This window comes from Homo sapiens, chromosome 5 (genome assembly GCF_000001405.40).
Source record: "Homo sapiens chromosome 5, GRCh38.p14 Primary Assembly".
Taxonomy (NCBI): domain Eukaryota; kingdom Metazoa; phylum Chordata; class Mammalia; order Primates; family Hominidae; genus Homo; species Homo sapiens.
In genome coordinates, this window is record NC_000005.10 from 40,965,874 (window position 1) to 40,986,594 (window position 20,721).

The 20,721-nt window shown below is 39.6% G+C and overlaps 1 protein-coding gene across 1 annotated transcript in view; it reads left to right on the forward strand.

Annotated features, from left to right (window-relative positions):
- Positions 1-18,770, forward strand: part of C7 (complement C7) — a 75,147-nt gene extending 56,377 nt beyond the window's left edge. The window contains exons 15-18 of the mRNA NM_000587.4: positions 6,530-6,721; positions 10,877-10,967; positions 13,852-14,036; positions 15,519-18,770. Coding sequence (NP_000578.2) covers positions 6,530-6,721; positions 10,877-10,967; positions 13,852-14,036; positions 15,519-15,700 — 650 coding nt within the window. The 3' untranslated portion in view covers positions 15,701-18,770. The remainder of the gene's footprint in view (positions 1-6,529; positions 6,722-10,876; positions 10,968-13,851; positions 14,037-15,518) is intronic.

Here is a 20,721-nt window from a genome sequence, read left to right on the forward strand (position 1 = left end):
CTCAGGCAATCCACCCATCTTGGCCTCTTAGGGTGCTAGGATTATAGGTGCGAGCTACTGTGCCCAGCCTATTTTTATATTTTTTCTAATGACTAATAATGTTAAGCTTGTTTTCATATGTTCGTTAGCCATTGGTTATATTCTTTGGAGAAATGGCTGTCTATGTCTTTTGTCCATTAAAAATAATCGGTTTGTCTGTCTTTTTCTTATTTTTTAATTTAATTTAATTTTTAATTTTAATTTTTAAAAATTTCCATAGGTTTTTGGGGAACAGATGGTGTTCGGTTACATGAGTAAGTTCTTTAGTGGTGATTGTGAGATTTTGGTGCACCCGTCACTCAGGCAGTACACACTGCACCCAGTTTGTAGTCTTTTATCCCTTACCCCCTTCCCACCCTTTCTCTCTGAATCCCCAAAGTCCATTGCATCAGTCTTATGCCTTTGCATCCTCATAGCTTAGCTCCCACTTGTGAGTGAGAACATGCAATGTTTGGTTTTCTTTCTTTTTTTTTTTTTGAGATGGAGTCTCTCTCTGTTGCCCAAGCTGGAGTGCAGTGGCACAATCTCAGCTCACTGCAACCTCTGCCTCCTGGGTTCAACATTCAAACAATTCTCCTGCCTCAGCCTTCTGAGTAGCTGGGACTACAGGTGCACACCACCATGACCGGCTAATTTTTGTATTTTTAGTAGAGATGGGGTTTCACTCTGTTGGCCAGGATGGTCTTGAACTCCTGACCTCGTGATCTGCCTGAATCGGCCTCCCAAAGTGCTGGGATTACAGGCATGAGCTACCATGCCTGGCACAATATTTGGTTTTTAATTCCTGAGTTACTTCACTTAGAATAATAGTCTCCAGTCTCATCCACGTTGCTGAGAATGCCATTAATTAATTCCTTTTTATGGCTGAGTAGTATTCTATCGTATATATATACCACAGTTTCTTTATCCACTCATTCATTGACTGATGGGCATTGTCTTTTACTTATTAATCTCTCTCTCTCTCTTTCTCTTGGAATCCTTAAGCAGAAACAAATGAAATAGAATATGAATATGAATATTTGCTAGTTGGGAGTTAATAAAGCCAAAAGTTTGTTCTTTGAAAAGATTAATAAGAAACTTCTACTTGAAGGGCTTCTTTTCCTTTATTGTGAACCGACTGATGAAATGTCTGTCTTTTACCTTGACTTTTCAAAGGATTTTTTTTTTTTCTTTGAGATGGAGTCTTGCTTATCGCCAGGCTGGAGTGCAGTGGCGTGATCTTGCCTCACTGCAACCTCCGCCTCCTGGGTTCAAGCGATTCTCCTATCTCAGCCTCCTGAGTAGCTGGGACAACAGCCGTGCACCACCATGCCCAGCTACTTTTTGTATTTTTAGTAGAGATGGGTTTTCACCATGTTGGCCAGGATGGTCTCCATCTCTTGACCTCATGATTTGTCCGCCTTGGCCTCCCAAAGTGTTGAGATTACAGGCATGAGCCACCGCACCTGGCCAGGATATTTTTATTAGGTAAGACATTCTAAGCTAGCAGTTATTTTTTATTTTATTTATTTATTTATTTATTTGAGACGGAGTTTCATTCTTGTCTCCCAGGCTGGATTGCAATGGAGTGATCTTGGCTCCAATCTTCACACCATATTTTGGCAGTTCATGTGCATACACTGCACAGACTATCACGTTCCCTTCTACACAGGTCTAAGCAATCTGACAAATGATAACTCTGTTTGTTACATAAAATATCATCCTGTATTTGGGTGTGCTGTATTTATTTTTATCCTGTATCACCAAGCATTTCCGAACATAGTGATCAGTTTTACCCTCTTGTCATCTTCTAAATTTCACTTAGTATCTTTTAAAGTAGGCCTTATTATTAACAACTTTAACAAACCCCATCCTGTGGGACAGAGACCTGCGTTTGTGGCTTGACAGAGACCTGCAGGCCCAGTAGTGCTGGGGTGGGAAAAGGGTATTATTAATTGTTTTTTGCTTTTGGTTTTCTCCAGCAACTTTACTCTGATGTCTAGGTATAATTTTCTTTATATTTTTCTGGGCTTTTATTGAACCTGTGCTTTAAGTCTTTTGTCAGTTTTAGACCATTTCTTGACCATTATGTCCTAAAACATTGCTTCTGTCCCATTCTTCCTCACTTGTCCTTATGGGACACAAATTATACATTTTTTGGACCATTATATTTTTTAACATCATTTTTTTGTTTGTTTTCCATCTTTTCCCCCTCTGTTTCATTCTAAATATTTTCTTTTTCTTTTTCTTTTTTTTATTTGAGATGGTTTGTTTTCCAGGCTGGAGTGCAGTGGTGCGATCTCGGCTCACTGCAACCTCCGCTTCCCAGGTTCAAACAATTCTCCTGGCTCAGCCTCCTGAGTAGCTGGAATTACATGCATGCAGCACTGCATCTGGCTAATTTTTGTATTTTTAGTAAAGATGAGGTTTTGCCATGTTGGCCAGGCTGGTCTTGAATTCCTGACCTCAAGTAATCTGCCTGTCTGGGCCTCCCAAAGTGCTGGGACTACAGGCATGAGCCACCGCACCTGGCCTCATTCTAAATATTTTCAACTGACCTATCTTCCAATTTATTAATTCTCTGTATATTTCTGTATAATCTCCTTTTAAGAACTCTATTATAGAGTTTTAAATTTTATCAATTTTATTTTTCAACTTAAAACAATTATATATATTTTATATATATATATATATATATATATATATATATTTTTTTTTTTTTTTTTTTTTTTTTTTTTGAGACAGATTTTACTCCTGTCACCCATGCTGAAGTGCAGTGGTGCAATCTTGGCTCACTGTAATCTCTGCCTCCTGGGCTCAAGCAATTCTCCTGCCTCAGCCTCCTGAGTAGCTGGGATTATAGACGCTTGCCACAGTGCCCAGCTAATTTTGTACTTTTTAGTAGAGACGGGGTTTCACCATGTTGCCGTGGCTGTTCTCAAACTCCTGAGCTCAAGTGATCTGCCTGCTTCAGTCTCCCAAAGTGCTGGGATTATAGGTGTGAGCCATCGTGCCTGGCTATTTTTCAATTTTAGAGGTTTCATTTGTCTACTTTTTTACTGCATAGTGAATTTTTAAATTAATAACTTCATTTTTAGAGCAGTTTTAGCTTACAAAAAACTGACTAGAAAGTACAGAGAGCGCCCATCTACTTCCTTACTTCCCGCCCAGTTTCCCTATTAGGTATTAACATCTTCCATTAATGTGGTATATTTATTATAATGAATGAGCCTATATTCTTACATTATTATATTTAAAAATATTAAAATTTTTCACTTAAAATATAGTTTTTAAGCGATGTTTTGATATGTGTAAACAGTGTGTAATAAGCAAATCAGAGTAAATAACATCAATTACTTCAAACATTTATGTTTACTGTTTTATATTTTCTAATTCTCTGTTGTAATTCTCCATCTTGTCATTTAAAAAAATATATTAATTTCAGTTGTTTCAGGGCCTGTATCTGTTAATTTCATTCTTTAGGTAAGTCTGTTACTGTAAGTCTGTTTCTATTGTTTTTTTTGGTTGGAATTTGGTCAATTCTTGTCTTTTTGAATGTTAAATTAGTTTTAATTGAATGTCAGACTTTACGTATGAAAATTTAAAAATTGGATGATGCTATCTTCCTCTAGAGAAGACTAACTTTTGTTTATGGCAACCAGTGAGGCTGGCTTATGTCTGGGTTATCTCTATTCCAAGGATGTGGCCATTAAGGGATTCCAACTGAAGGTATGGGCTTTCTACCTGGCCCCTTCTTTTTGACAGGACTGGACTCTAGTTTTTAAAACCCTGGTCCTGTGAGACTGCTAAAAGCTGTTTATCTTTTTAGCCTCTGAGCTATGGTTTTCTCTTCAGTTTAGCAGCCTTTCAGCATATTTTCTTTTTTTTTTTAATTTACAAATACCTCAAGGAAAAATGTGTTACCAAATGTAAATGTAATCACCACATTAGACTTCCCTTCTCTCTGAAATCTTGGACTTTCAAACTTGCACTGCCTTGTTAGTGCTCTGATTCTTTCAGAAATAGTTTTCCTTTTAATTTTGTACAGTCTTTCTATTTTTTTTGTCTTGGTAGGAGATTTAATGTGAAAACAGCAAACGCATTAGAAACAAGCAGATTCAATACTAGATTATGAAGTTTTGGAAGGCATAAGATGTGACTTGTACTTTGCTGTGTCCCAAGCAGTGCACAACATATTTGGCAAAATATAGGCATTCAAAAAGTGCTGTGGATTTTTGTATATATTCATGGAGTATTAGCTCAATTTTGCTACACTGATATATCTCATTGTGATGAAGTCAAAGCTTTCAGTGCATCCATCAAATGCTGTTTTTGAATGAATAAATGAATGAATGGGTTTTCTGATGACAGTGCTGTAAAGATACAGCAATACTTTGTAGAATATTGTCCAAAGTCCATTAGGGATATTAGCAAGATTTTTTTTTTAATCATGAATTCTGACTTGCTGTTTATACTATGTGTGTTTTTTCTTTTTCTCTGTTCTTTTTTGAAGTAAGCTATTTGAGCTAATGAATGTAATTGAGTAAGAAAGAATACAGATGAAAAGTCAGGGAACACTGAACACTTTTATGTCTGCAAGTTTAAAGGTGGTGCTTTAGCTGGGTGTGGTGGCATGTGCCTGTGATCCCACCTACTCAGGAGGTTGAGTCAGGAGGATTGCTTGAGCCTAGGAGTTTTTAATTTTTTTTTTAATTTTACTTTAAGTTCTGGGATACATGTGTTGAATGTGCAGGTTTGTTACATAGGTATATATGTGCTATGGTAGTTTGCTGCATCTATCAACCCATCATCTAGGTTTTAAGCCTCGCATGCATTAGGTATTTTTCCTAATGCTTTCCCTCCCCTTGCCCCCCATCCCCTGACAGGCCACAGTGTGTGATGTTCCACTCCCTGTGCCCATGTGTTCTCATTGTTCAACTCCCACTTATGAGTGAGAACATGCATTTTCTGTTCCTGTGTTAGTTTGCTGAGGATGATGGTTTCCAGCTTCATCCATGTCTCTGCAAAGGACATTAACCCGTTATAGTATTCCATGGTGTATATGTGCCATATTTTCTTTATCCAGTCTATCATTGATGGGCATTTGGGTTGGTTCCAAGTCTTTGCTATTGTAAGTAGTGCTGCAATAAACATACGTGTGCATGTGTCTTTACAGTAGAATGATTTATAACCCTTTGGGTATATACCCAGTAACGGGATTGCTGGGTCAAATGGTATTTCTGGTTCTAGATCCTTGAGGAATTGCCATACCGTCTTCCACAATGATTGAACTAGTTTACACTCCTACCAATAGTGTAAAAGCGTTCCTATTTCTCCACATCCCCACCAGCATCTGTTCTTTCCAGACTTTTTAATGATCACCATTCTAACTGGCGTGAGATGGTATCTCATTGTGGTTTTGATTTGCATTTCTCTGGTGACCAGTGATGATGAGCATTTTTTCATATGTTTGTTGGCTGCATAAATGTCTTCTTTTGAGAAATGTCTGTTCATATCCTTTGCCCACTTTTTGATGGGGTTGCTTGTTTTTCTGTTGTAAATTTGTTTAAGTTCCCTGTAGATTCTGGATATTAGCCCTTTGTCAGATAGATAGATTACAAACATTGTCTCCCATTCTGTAGGTTGCCTGTTTACTCTGATGATAGTTTCTTTTGCTGAGCAGAAGCTCTTTAGTTTAATTAGATCCCATTTGTCAATTTTGGTTTTTGTTGCAATTGTTTTTGGTGTTTTAGTCATGAAGTCTTTGCCCATGCTTATGTCCTGAATGGTATTGCATAGGTTTTCTTCTAGGGTTTTTATGGTTTTAGGTTTTACATTTAAGTCTTTAATCCATCTTGAGTTAATTTTTGTATAAGGTATAAGGAAGGGGTCCAGTTTCTGTTTTCTGCATATGGCTTGCCGGTTTTCCCATCACCATTTATTAAACAGGAAATCCTTTCCCCATTGCTTTTCTGAGCCCAGGAATTTGAGGCTGTAGTATACACTGATTAGACCTATGAATAATCACTGCTCTCCAGCCTGGGCAACAAGACAGACCCTGTCCCTAAAAAATAAAAATAAATAAATAAATAAAAGTGGTGTTTTAATAATTTCAGACGGCAAAATATCCAACTGGATGAAAGTTAATGAAACTCTCCTGGTGGAACATCACTAGAGCACATAAATAAGTGACAGCTGTGAAAAGTTTGGTTTCAACAGTAGGCTGGGCATTAGGACTCTATTGGGGTTGTTCATTTTAAGTTGTCACATTGTTTTGAGGGGAGGGGTGGGAGAGGGGGAGCTGTTTTGGTTTTTAGATATTCATGGGTCAATTACGTGCCAGGCTCTGTGTGACATGTCTTTCAGTCCACCCTAACAGTGAACTTACGTCTTCCTCCTTGTCCTCTAATATGAAAAAGCAGAACAAGTGTGTCTGCATCACATAAGACTTTTTTAAAAAGATGGTTTAGGAGAGCAACGACCCTTATATTTTGCTCTCTTTTATCTTTAGAAATTGCCTGTGTTCTACCTGTACTGATGGATGGCATACAGAGTCACCCCCAAAAACCTTTCTACACAGTTGGTGAGAAGGTGACTGTTTCCTGTTCAGGTGGCATGTCCTTAGAAGGTCCTTCAGCATTTCTCTGTGGCTCCAGCCTTAAGTGGAGTCCTGAGATGAAGAATGCCCGCTGTGTACAAAAAGGTGAGTGGCTTCCATGTCTATCCAAGGACACTTGTACCCAGGCAAGTGAGAGTCCTTGTGGCGACCTTCATGGTACTGTATCACCATAGCTGTGAGTCATTCCCTCCATTCTTGCTCCTTAAGATAGGGTCAGTTTGTAGACTGAGTAACAGATTTTCTTCACATGGCACAGAAAGACTCATGAAAGCAAGGAAAGGCAAGGATAGCCTGGTGATTCTGAAACTTTTAACTTAAATCATCCTTGTGAAAGATTAGCTTTATATCTGTTATGGTGCCAAGACAATAAAGGATTTTTAAAATCTGTTTTTTGTTTGTTTGTTTGTTTCCTCTAGATTTTTTTCCCCTGCATTTTTCATAAGTACAGAGTTGAGATCATAATTTATTTAAAGTTCTGTATGTTTCATTTTTGGGCTTTCAAAGAGTTTATCAGTATTTCTGAAATTGAAAATTTAGAAAGCATTTTCATTTAACACTTTAAAGCAGACATTATTGAAGGAAAAGTGTTGTGATTCATGAAATTGTTCTTAATGTGGAAACCCAAAAATCCAGTATTTTAACACCAAGAAAATTAAAATGGTCTTTTAAGAACCTAAGGTAGAAAGGATTTAGAAAGCCAAATTATTTCTTTTTAGAGGTAATTTTAGATGAGATAGATTTGTTTGACAATAACCCCTTATTTATTCTTTGTTTACATTTTTTAAATAAATGGAAAATATTGTATTTGTAACAAAAATGAGAATGAAGAAAAACTCACTTGCATACTATTTTATGTGATATTATCTCTCTAGTATGTGATTTTTAATTAAACGCTGAAATTTATTTTTAATAGTGAGGATGAAGTACTAGATTTCACAGGTGATGGTGTGAGGTGAATTAGATGTTTCTAACTAAGTTCTCCATGCGACAGGGTATGGAGCACTCAGATACTGATGGTAGATATGGGCTGTGATGTGAAGTGGATGAGAGGCAGAACAATAGGCAAGACACACGTCCTTGGAGTGCCCTCCCTGCCTGTCCTGATGTGCTGTTAAGTTATCAAAGCTCCATCTCAGAGGACAGTTGTTTTGTGTTCTGTAAACACTGAAGTATAAACATGAGTTTACTTGGAATATTTAAAGTCATGGACCAGTACTTACAATTCTAAAAATGAAAGAGAACAATATACAGTTGATGAGGTTGCACTTTTGGTTCAAATGAGATTGTAGACTAGTCTGTCTAAAATGCTACTTCAGCTATTTTACAGCACAGTTTGGTATGAAGTTTCATTTACCCAGTAGAAAATTCTATTAAAGTGGGTTTTAATTAAGGATGTTTTTCAGATCTGTGTGTTTTTCTGAAGATGTGAATAACAGTAACTACTTCTAAGCCTATAACAAACAAAAAAATCCAAGACTTACCAGCTTCCAAAGTTGATGTTTTAAAATGTTGGCTGTTCTAGTATTTAGTCTTTTTTTTTATTATAATAAAGCATACATAACATAACATTTACCATTTTATCCATTTTTAAATGTATGTTCAGTGGCATTAAGTAATTCCCATTGTTGTGCAACCATCACCACATTTTTTTTCATCTTTCCAAACTGAAGCTCTATATCCATTAAACATTAATTCCTCACTTTCCCCTACTGTCCCCGTAGTTAGTCTTGATGGGAATAAATTTGCTTTTAAAATAGCAAAAGCACATACTTTCGGTGGGCCTTAAGAGTGTGTTTACTTGGTTAACCAAGCTGTAAAGGCAACAAAGCTATGTTCTTCTTAAATGCAAAAATTCTTTGGGCTAGGTAATTCTATCGTTTTTTTTTTTTTCCACAAAGACATTATAATACATTTTTTTTTTTTGAGATGCAGTCTCGTTCTGTCACCCAGGCTGGAGTGCAGCGGCACAATCTCAGCTCACTGCAAGTTCTGCCTCCCGGGTTCACACCATTCTCCTGCCTCAGCCTCCTGAGTAGCTGGGACTACAGGTGCTCGCCACCATGCCCGGCTAATTTTTTTTTGTATTTTTAGCAGAGACGGGGTTTCACCATGTTAGTCAGGATGGTCCCGATCTCCTGACCTCATGATCCGCCCGCCTCGGCCTCCCAAAGTACTGGGATTACAGGCGTGAGCCACTGCGCCCGGCTTGACATTATAATAGTTTAAGCAAACTTTTAAAATCTAAAATTTCAGGATTTGTCCTAAAGTAAATTTTTAACCACAGTGCAGAACTAATTTACATGGCTTGATCATTGACCTTAAGTTTTGGTACATCTAGATTAAGGCTTCTCAACCTCAACGCTATTGGAATTTTAGGTCTAATAATTCTTTGCTATGGGAGCCTCTTCTGTGCATTGCAGGGTGCTTAGCAGCATCCCTGGTCTCTACCCAACAGTAGCATCCTCCTATGTCAATAACATTCTGCAGTTGTAAAAACCAAAGATGTCCCTAGTGATTTCCAGATGTCCCCTGGGGGACAAAACTGCCCCTGGTTGAGAAGCACTGATGTAGATAATACCATTTTTAAAAAATTTCATTTTGGAATAATTTTAGATTTCAGCAAAGTCACAGATATAATTTCTACACACCCTTCACCCATCTTCCTTAATATTAACATCTTACATAACACAACTTGGTTAAAACTAAAAAATTAATATTAGTACAATGCTATTGACTAAACTATACACTTTATTCAAATACCTCATGTTTTACCACTAATGTCTCTTTTATGTTCTAGGGTCCAGTTCAGGGTACTACGTTGCATTTAGGATAATACCATTTTAAAGAGAAGTGTGCTTTTTTTTTTTTTTTGAGACAAGGTCTCGCTTGTCCAGGCTGGCTGGAGTGCAACGGCGCAATCTTGGTTCACTGCAACCTCCACCACCCGGGCTCAAGCAATTCTCCTGCCTCAGCCTCCTGAGGAGCTGAGATTACAGGCATGTGCCACCATGCCCGGCTAATTTTTGTATTTTTAGTAGAGACAGGGTTTCACCATGTTGGCTAGGCTGGTCGTGAACTCCTGACCTCAAGTGATCTGCCTGCCTCGGCCTCCCAAAGTGCTGAGATTACGGGCGTGAGCCACCGCGCCCAGCCAAGAGAAGTGTTTTAATAATGAATCTTGTTATTGAGACTGCTGACCATGGCAGGCATACTTCACATTGCCATCATTTTTACAGGTTTATGAATGCTCACAAGATTGTAATGTCATGTCCAAGGCTCTTGAATTTTCCAAAGTAAGGAAGTATTTCATAGTTTGTGTATTCATAAAAACATATTCTCCAGATAAACTACCTTTATAGATATAGTAAATGACTATCTAGTTTTATGATGCAAAAGTGTATGGCAATGAATTTCATTGTAATAAAGCTATTACGAGGTGAAAAAAGTCAGGATGTTTTTAGATCATTCCCATTGCAATCAGGGATAGCTGAGGGGATGGCAGTCACATTATGCTCTTGTAAGTTGGACCACGGTGTTTACCTGTCAAAACTGAAATGATGACTGAATTGTCAGTTTCTATAAAACACAAAGTTATAGAAAGAATTTTATTAACGTAATGACCTCCAGACATTTATTCACTGTTGAGGGAGACCACTTAGACATTCATATGTAAGAGGTTATTGTAGATCTTCTCGGCACACCAGGGAGTTCTCCATGTATAAGGCAAGTGATGTTGCTGCTTTTTGCCTCATTATGGGCACAGCAGGCAGAATGCAGTCCAAACAACAAACAGTTTATAAGCACCAGCTTCTTGAAAGGGAGCCACTTTATTGTCCTTGGATTCAGACCAATGTAGAATTAAATGCTGCCTGGGCCAGTTTGTTAAATGTGTGAAGTAGCACCAACTTCCTAACTCTTTTTACTCTTAATTTTCTGATTTCTTAGGTGGGCATGTGTTAGGGAGGCATGAATATCCCAATGTATAAAAAGTGCATGACAAATATAAATGTTCACGAGATGGTAGCTATTACTACCAATGCAGTTATTTGTAATGTGACTCTAGAAACTCTCTATAGCTTGTAAAATGTATCACACCTTGATTATTATTACTATTGTTACTGTGCAAATGCATTGCAGTTGGAGAATACTACAGACCCTGGTCCAGCAATTCATATAATACCTTGTTTACTATGAAGAGGCTTTTCTCCTAACGACCACATCTCCCTTATCCTTTTTTAGAAAATCCGTTAACACAGGCAGTGCCTAAATGTCAGCGCTGGGAGAAACTGCAGAATTCAAGATGTGTTTGTAAAATGCCCTACGAATGTGGGTAAGTGCCGCCTTTGCTCATTTCTCTGTTTTATTTTATTAATGATAAGGGATAATTTCTTAGATAATAGTGTCTGTTGGATGGAAGGTGTAGCTTACCAAGAGTTAAGGGTCTTTGTTTGCATTTCGATGTAGTCCATCTGCTGCCTGTTATTTGTCTGGGTCACTAGGGCTGACAGCCATGGCATTAAGCAGTGTTCTAATCTGGCTAGTGGAGAAGGCTGCAGGACTACTCGAGCACTGCTTGTTTTATATATAAAATGGAGCAAAATGGCAAAACTGTCAGCTGAGGATTTAGAACTTTAGAGGATTAGAGGATTAAAACTGAAATTCCTTTGGCACATAAACTCTTAAAGCAATACTGATAGGGAAACAGCAGCTGCTTTTGTTGATTCTTGAAGCATCTTCTCTAGATTTGCATGGTTAAGAATGCCACCAACTTGAAATCATTCCATTGTAGGAGGATATCTCTGAAGTAGTTAATAGATGTCTGTGTCATGGTCCTAGTAGGATAGAGATGGCACAATTAAATTAGGACAAGAAAAGCTTTATTAGCAGAAATATTTACAAAAATGTGAACAGAGGAAAGGAAACTACAAGTCCCATGGCAGTATTCCTAGACTGCTAACAGCTTGACCGTATAGCCATACCCAGGTCCAAGGAGTAAGGAGAGGGGCATTCAGGAAAAACTGGAGACAGAGAGGGCTGTGTGGAGATGGCCCTGAGGAGGAGCTGACACTCTCATTTTAGGGACTTCAGAGGTCCCACAGGCGTGAGCCAGGGGCATAAACACCTCAACTGCACTGTCCTTCCTGCCTCGAGTCTCCTGCTAGTCAGTGCTCACCACTGATCAAACCAACTGAAGCTAGAGGCCGAGGAAGTCCACGATGTGGCCCATACATGTCAGCTTCCCAGGCAGGTGGAGAAGAGTGGAAAGTGGATCTGGGGAGGAAATAAGAAATATCCAGCCCCTAGACTTAGTGGCCATTTTTAAAATTAAAAACCAACACATGACCTGGTGCGGTGGCTCACGCCTGCACTCCCAGCACTTTGGGAGGCCAAGGTGGGCCAATTGCTCGAGCTCAGGAGTTCAAGACCAGCCTGGGCAATATGGTGAAACCCCTTCTCTACAAAAAATACAAAAATTAGCTGGGTGTGGTGACTCACTCTTGTAGTCCCAGCTACTCAGGAGACTGAGGTGGGAGGATTGCTTGAAGCCAGGGAGGTTGAGGCTTCAGTGAGCCACATTCATGCCACCGCACTCCAGCTTGGGTGACAGAGCCAGACCCTATCTCAAAAAGAAAAAAAAAAAAAAAAAAAAGAACCAAAACACTAATTACTTGGTTTTCAATGATTTTGGTTATCAAAACCGATATCCAACTTCTTGAAGCTACAGTGGGTAATTGTTATTGTATATAGCAATTTCTGGTGTGAAGAGGAATATAAATAACTAAATGGCGTGATGGAAATGGTGGTCAGCCTAGATACATTCTCATTCTAATATTCTGACTTTGCTGCTAATCTTTAATAATTATTGTTTATTTTGAGTCATTTTCATCCTCTTTCCAACTTCCCCATTTCATTTAGTTGATCTGCAGCTCGTTGTTAATAGTTATGGTATACATTTCCATGTCATTCCATGGTCTCAGATACTGGCAACAAGGTGGTATTGTAAGGTCTTTACCCTTTCAGCTGTTATAAGTAGTTCTATTTAAAGTTTCAATAAACAGATGAAAAGATAGATTCAAAACAACAGGATTTGTTTCTGTTTTATAAATAACTCCAAGTAAATGTAGCTTTTGGTAGAAAAGGAAAATATTAGAACTAAATAAAGTGTGTGAATATAGACTCTTTCTGACTCCATCTGGTATACAAAAATGCTGTGTTGTCTAAGGTTTCAGTGACAGTAATGCCCTCCTTGTCTATCAGCATTCAGAAATGTGGAGTTTTCTGATAGTGACATTTCTAAATAGCTATTTTTTTCCACTATTTTAGCACCAATGCTAATGAGGAAGGTAACACATTTTATGGAAATTTTTTTTTTTTTTTTTTTTTTTTGGGACACAGTTTCATTCAGTCATCCAGACTGGAATGCAGTAGTGCAATCTTGGCTCACTGCAACCTCTGCCTCCTGGGTTCAAGTGATTCTCATGCTTCAGCCTCCTGAGTAGCTGGGATTACAGGTGTGCGCCACCACGCCCAGCTAATTTTTATATGCTTAGTAGAGATGGGGTTTCGCCATGTTAGCCATCCTGGTCTTGAACTCCTGACCTCAAATGATCCACCTGCGTTGGCCTCCCAAAGCACTGGGATTACAGGCTCCCAAACTTATGGAAATATTTCTAAACTATTTTGTAAACATAGATACTTTTAAAAGTAGCATTGAAAAATACAGTTTCATCTTCCCGTGATGATTTAGGGTCATCCATTTTTGGACAATGCAGTTTTATGGACATGAACTCTTGGCTGTTGGGCTGGGATGAGCTCATTTCTCCTGCAATTAATGGTCCCATTTGACTATGATCACATTGAATGCTTGGTCTCCACTGGCTTTCTGTCTCCTTTGTCAGCTGTTGCTAGCAGACCTTTTCTTCTCATCTAATTTGCTGTACCTGGTCTGTTCTAGATAGAACTAGATCAACACTAGATATCTACACTTAGAAAAATTGTGAGCAAATAATGAGTAAATACAAATATCTTCATTTTGAAGACCTAAGTGAGTTGGACCTAGGAATGAAGGGGATTTGAGTTTCCACCTTTTTTTTTTTTTTACTGTGGGTGATAACATCTGGGGGCACTAAGCTCAGAGCATCACTTTTCATTTCTCCTTCTCAGCTTTTACGAACAAAAATCTTGTAAATAATGTCATTAAAAATTCTTTTCAGACCTTCCTTGGATGTATGTGCTCAAGATGAGAGAAGCAAAAGGATACTGCCTCTGACAGTTTGCAAGATGCATGTTCTCCACTGTCAGGGTAGAAATTACACCCTTACTGGTAGGGACAGCTGTACTCTGCCTGCCTCAGCTGAGAAAGCTTGTGGTGCCTGCCCACTGTGGGGAAAATGTGATGGTAAGGGGCCTTTCATATTTGTAAGTATAAGAATGCTAAAGTCACAGTACTGAGGATTTAAAAAATGTGGTTTCTAGTTTAGCAGTGGGCCGAAGAAGATACTTGAGGATGTTAAAGACTCAGACTGATTTGACATGCACTGACCTCTCCTATACCCCTCACTGGAGAAGGGCACAGATCACAGACCTCAGAGGATAAGATTCCCACATTCCTGATGTGGAAATGTTCTCCCAAACAGGGGTGATTCCATGCCACCTTCATGATTTTTACTCTGTCCTTGTATTATCCATATTGTGTACTCATTTTTTAAAAGTCTGACATAAAAATAACTTAAAAATGAAAACTTTATATCATGTCCTTAAAAGGAGGTATCACTTGCCATAAATACTAGGTAACTATAAAAGTTATATGTAATGGAACTAAATAAAGTTGTGGACTCTAGCCAGATACTGGTCCAACATTGACTATGCTGTTTCTCTGTGAGTTTAGCAAGTGTTAGAGGGGTGTTAAAAACATACTAGCACCAAGCTGACACTTTCTTCTAGAAGTAATCAGACGGATTTGAAGAGAATAAAAGAAGAAGTTACTTTCTCACGTTGTGATTCAATATTTGCTAACACTATGTTTAAGTAGTACTTACAGTGATCTTGAACTCCCCCAAGAGCACAGCAAACCTCCCATGATTTGGGCAGTACTATGAAAGTGGAATGGCTGGGTCTCCAGAGCCAAGTCACTGTCTGGGCTTCCCTATCTGTAAATTTAGGAGCTGGACTCTATGACTTGTAAGGTCTCTGTCGTCTCTTCACTCTCTGCCCTCCTGGCCTGTACCCGCTGGCACCTGTCCCCTCACTCCCTCAAGGTTTGCAGCACAGACTGATGACATACATATGTGACTCTAGCCATGTCTGGGTCACTTTTGGTTAGGTGGTCACCATTGTCTGCTGGCTGACCTTGTTACTCATCTTTGGAAGACTCCTGGCTGGTGTATTCCAACCATGGACTTTCCATGCACAGACTCCTTGCCTCCTTAACTCATTTCTGGTTTGTTTTTTGGGATTTGTAGCCTTTTGCATGCCATGCTCTCTCTCAAAGCAAGTTAAGTTCTCTTTTTTTCTCTCTCTCTTTGTTTGAGTCTTGACTTGGTTCTTTGTTGAGGGCTTCTCATTTGACCTCAGTTGCTGGCTTATATGGACAGCAGCATGTATGTAGGAGATAGTTGAAGAGCTCTTGACTTGGATAAAACCACCCCATGTGGTCTAACCAATATAAAGCCTGCTACCAACCTCAAAACCTATTTCTTTGGAGTGGAGCAAAATGCCCCAATTTCCTGGTCCTACTGCTTTTCCAGGGGATAATTTATTATGTCATTCCAGGCAGGAGCTTCTACAGCTCTGATCACCACATTATTACTTTGGAGGTGATGTTCTTTGACTCCCCGACCTCCACAATGTACCATTAAGCCTCTTTCACTTACTTTTCCAGCTGAGAGCAGCAAATGTGTCTGCCGAGAAGCATCGGAGTGCGAGGAAGAAGGGTTTAGCATTTGTGTGGAAGTGAACGGCAAGGAGCAGACGATGTCTGAGTGTGAGGCGGGCGCTCTGAGATGCAGAGGGCAGAGCATCTCTGTCACCAGCATAAGGCCTTGTGCTGCGGAAACCCAGTAGGCTCCTGGAGGCCCTGGTCAGCTTGCTTGGAATCCAGCAGGCAGCTGGGGCTGAGTGAAAACATCTGCACAACTGGGCACTGGACAGCTTTTCCTTCTTCTCCAGTGTCTACCTTCCTCCTCAACTCCCAGCCATCTGTATAAACACAATCCTTTGTTCTCCCAAATCTGAATCGAATTACTCTTTTGCCTCCTTTTTAATGTCAGTAAGGATATGAGCCTTTGCACAGGCTGGCTGCGTGTTCTTGAAATAGGTGTTACCTTCTCTGGGCCTTGGTTTTTTAAAATCTGTAAAATTAGAGGATTGCACTAGAGAAACTTGAATGCTCCATTCAGGCCTATCATTTTATTAAGTATGATTGACACAGCCCATGGGCCAGAACACACTCTACAAAATGACTAGGATAACAGAAAGAACGTGATCTCCTGATTAGAGAGGGTGGTTTTCCTCAATGGAACCAAATATAAAGAGGACTTGAACAAAAATGACAGATACAAACTATTTCTATCCTGAGTAGTAATCTCACACTTCATCCTATAGAGTCAACCACCACAGATAGGAATTCCTTATTCTTTTTTTAATTTTTTTAAGACAGAGTCTCACTTTGTTGCCCAGGCTGGAGCGCAGTGGGGTGATCTCATCTCCCTGCAACCTCCGCCTCCTGGGTTCAAGCGATTCTTGTGCCTCAGCTTCCCAAGCAGCTGGGATTACAGGTGCCCGCCACCACGCCCAGCTAATTTTTGCATTTTTAGTAGAGATGGGGTTTCACCATGTTGGCCACGCTCGTCTCCAACTCCTGACCTCAGGTAATCCGCCTGCCTTGGCCTCCCAAAGTGCTGGGATTACAGACATGAACCACCACGCCTGGCTGGAATACTTACTCTTGTCGGGAGATTGAACCACTAAAATGTTAGAGCAGAATTCATTATGCTGTGGTCACAGGGGTGTCTTGTCTGAGAACAAATACAATTCAGTCTTCTCTTTGGGGTTTTAGTATGTGTCAAACATAGGACTGGAAGTTTGCCCCTGTTCTTTTTTCTTTTGAAAGAACATCAGTTCATGCCTGAGGCATGAGTGACTGTGCATTTGAGAATAGTTTTCCCTATTCTGTGGATACAGTCCCAGAGTTTTCAGGGAGTACACAGGTAGATTAGTTTGAAGCATTGACCTTTTATTTATTCCTTATTTCTCTTTCATCAAAACAAAACAGCAGCTGTGGGAGGAGAAATGAGAGGGCTTAAATGAAATTTAAAATAAGCTATATTATACAAATACTATCTCTGTATTGTTCTGACCCTGGTAAATATATTTCAAAACTTCAGATGACAAGGATTAGAACACTCATTAAAGATGCTATTCTTCAGAATTGTTTCATTTGTATGATGTTTCATTTTAGAGAAGATTTTCATGATGAATGGTTAATGTGTTCTTGCCTGAAGTTTTATGTCTGATCCAGATCTAGCTTTTTGTATCAAAGTGTGCCCTAAGGGAAGATGCAGATATAATATGTTGAAGTTACAAGGAGGCAGGTTTCAATTGGTTAAAAACAATGACATTCAGACATTGCAACTGCATTTGTTAGCGGTTATTACAGAGTTAATTTCTACCCTGGATGGGAGGACACATTTGAACATGCTAGGCCTGGATGCAGACCCTGAGACAAAAGGTTGAACAAGTAATTCATTTGGAAGGAAATACCTCAGTATCCTTCCAATAATTTCTCCTCTTAGCTTAAGCTAGTATGGAGTTAGATTCCTACCGCTTATGTATCACCATGCCCCCTTCCTAAATAATACAGAGGATATGGTCAGCATTATCACATATCATCAGAGATTGAGGTTTGAAAGAAAGGAAATGAGTAGATGTAACTAAGAGGTTTGAGAAAGGAATTTCAGCAGAGTTATTGAAGGAGAAGTCAAGGAGAGGAGAAGGAGAGGAGCAGTGAATGTTGTCGTGAAGAGGTGTTGTCTTGAAATACTGTATTTTTTTCCTCCTTTTCTTTTCTGAACATTCTTGTGCTGACCTTTCCTCTAGTCCAACAGAGGCATTCACAATTGCCTGTGGAGAATTAGGATTGTCGCAGCAGGTCAGCAAGGAGAAAGTCATTTTTAAGATTAAATTTTTAAAAATGTTTTGAAACTTCCAAAATAAGTTCTTGAACACCTATGGAGAGGCTTTGAGGAAAGTTAAGGGAATGATTTTATACCACAAAAATAAATGGAAAAAGAATAAAGACTGTGAGAATTCCATCTTCCTGCCCTTTCCTGTGCCTCAGATCAGGTGAGGGTCATCTGGGTTAGAAGGGGATAGAGCCTTGGAGGAGGCAGAGGGCAGAAAGCATTGCTGAGATTAGAGTCATTTGGCCCTCAGAAGGAACAGACAAAGAGAAGGAAATTGGCTGGTGCATTAATCATCACTAGCTTCAGGGAGCTATGTGGAGGCCAAGGCACATCCTACAGATCATCGCTTACCACTCATGAGGACGCTACAAGTTACCTGGGCAGAGAAGGTGCCTGAGAATATTTCCTAATCGTTTTGAGAAGTGCCTTCCTGTGACATCTTATGTATTTCCTAATTGATCAAAAGTAGTGCTGCTTCTCTAAGCCCTGAGATTTAATGAGCCCCATTCAAACTGTTATTAATGTAACCTTCTTTCCCAGTGCAGGATGACTTGTAATCACCTTGAAAGAGAAGGAGGGTTCTTCGTATTCAGGTAGGGTATGGTAGGGATGTGGAGTGCCAAGCAGGAAATCTGACAAGTGACCCCCGGAACTTTGGATTACCTAGCAACTAGCCAGGTAACTGGCTAATCTGATTGAGGGTTGCCCTCTTTGCTGGGCAGATCATGGCTAATCTCAGCTTCACATGAGTCTTGTGAACCATCTAGTTGTTTTGTAACTGCTAAGAGCTGCAAGTGCTGAGCAGCTGGTTTATACAGCATTCCCTGAAACAGCCTAGTATGTGTCCATTTATGTGCCCGGCTTATTATGTGTCCACTTATGTGTCCAATTAGTAATCACTTTTTCTTTCGGTCAAGGTATGTGTATTAATCAATATTTTTTGAACCCGTCCTGTCTCAGTCTGTTTTATGCTGTTATAACAGAATATCACCAACTGGGTAATTTATAATGAGCATAAATTTATTTGGCTGCTGGTTCTGAAGGCTGGGAAGTCCATGAGCATGGTGCTGGCATCTGGCAGGGCCTTCATGCTGCATCATCCTATGGCAAAACGTGGAAGGGCAAGAGAGAGCAAGAGGAAGCAGGGGCTGAACTCGTTTTTATAACAAAAGCACCCTCATGATAACTAACCCATTCCCGTTACAACAACACAATCCATTCATAGCAGCAGAGACCTCATGTCCTAATCACTTCTTATGAAGGCTTGCCTCCCAACACGTGCATTGGAGGTTAAGTTTCCAACACATGAACTTTGGGAAACACATGCAAACCACGGCACCATGGTTTATCATTATTCTGTATTTTCTTTATGTTCCTATTCACATTTCTTATACACACATACTCACCCACCACAGGCATTTGGATTATTTGGAGATAATACACACATACTCACACATAATACACACAAACTTACTCACTTATACACACATACTCACCCACCACAGGCATTTGGATTATTTTCACAGCATAATAGCTAGTGGAAGTGGTCATCATCATAAACTTGAAGAAAACTTAAGATATTGCATACTTTGGGCACAAGATGAAGTGGGTATTCAGGGGTATCCAATACTTCTCTTTCTCTTCTCTGAAGTAGAGCGGATAGACAAAGAAGAGAAGAGAAAAGAAAAGGGGAGGCAGGAGAGATAGAAAGAGAGAGATAAATTGGGCCATTCTTAGTATGGGATTGGCAGAACTGAGTAGCCATACCAGTCCACTGAGATTTTTCTTCCTTGATGGACTAGTTAAAGCGTACTCAATACTTGTGTTAGAAACAGAATGGCTTGTTTCTTTCTCAGAACACTAAGCCAGAAAAGCGACATCAGTAGGAGGCAATTTCCATTAATGTCTGAGAAAACAGGTTTATGCCTGCCTTTCAATTACCTTGGACTTTCAGGCCATTCACACATTTGTGGACGAGAAAGCTGATGCCATGATAGGAGCCCCTGCTGTGACAACCAAAGCACCTACAATTTGTCTTTTTATTTATTCCTGTCAGGCTGTGAAGGCAAAGCTCTAGATTTACATTCAAGATATCAATCACATAGAAAAATTTGCTTCCTCAGCCAGGGGTTAACAAGACCAGATGGAAAGACTGCCGTTGTTTGAAAGGGGTGGGCTGGAGGTGAGAAGGTGGGCAAGAGAAGAAAACATGAAAATGTTCTTTTCAATTCATAGGCTGAGGACAATTTCCTGTGAAAAGACAAACATAGGAACTGCTCTGTTATCACTGTTATTTCCATGCATCTCTATGAGAGGAGACTTGCACTGAATTCCAGGGAAGGGGACTTAGTTATACGGCAGATCAATGATGTCCAAGACAGAGAAACATTGACTGAAAAACGAAGCACATGCGATGTTGGCTTGAGGGTCTATTACAAAATAATCAGCTGCCCTAGTCAACTGGGAACACAGAGAGGTCAAGGAATTTTCAGCAACAGTAAAATATAATTTTCTTATTAAAGAAAAAGTTTTGCCTGGCATCCCTAAGAGAAAATGGATTAACATGAAAGGCTTAGGATTGGTGTATCATTAGGCCATATACAACCCACGTGTGCATTATGACAGTATTTAATAAGGGGCCACAACTGAACTCTAAGTCCAGAAACTCTTTTTTGCACAGGTAGCACCAAGAGCAACTCCTGAAGTCAGGCATTATATAAAGCTGTATTCAAGCCCACTGACTGGACCCCCTTGTGACCCTATAGAATTAAGCAGCTTTGGTATGATGATAATGAGCCTTCCAAAGTATCTTGAGTCTCTTAATAATGTAATGATTGGCTGTTTAGCATGGACATGGGCACAGATTCATTAAATGTGGCAGAGAAAGGCACTTTTGAGGAA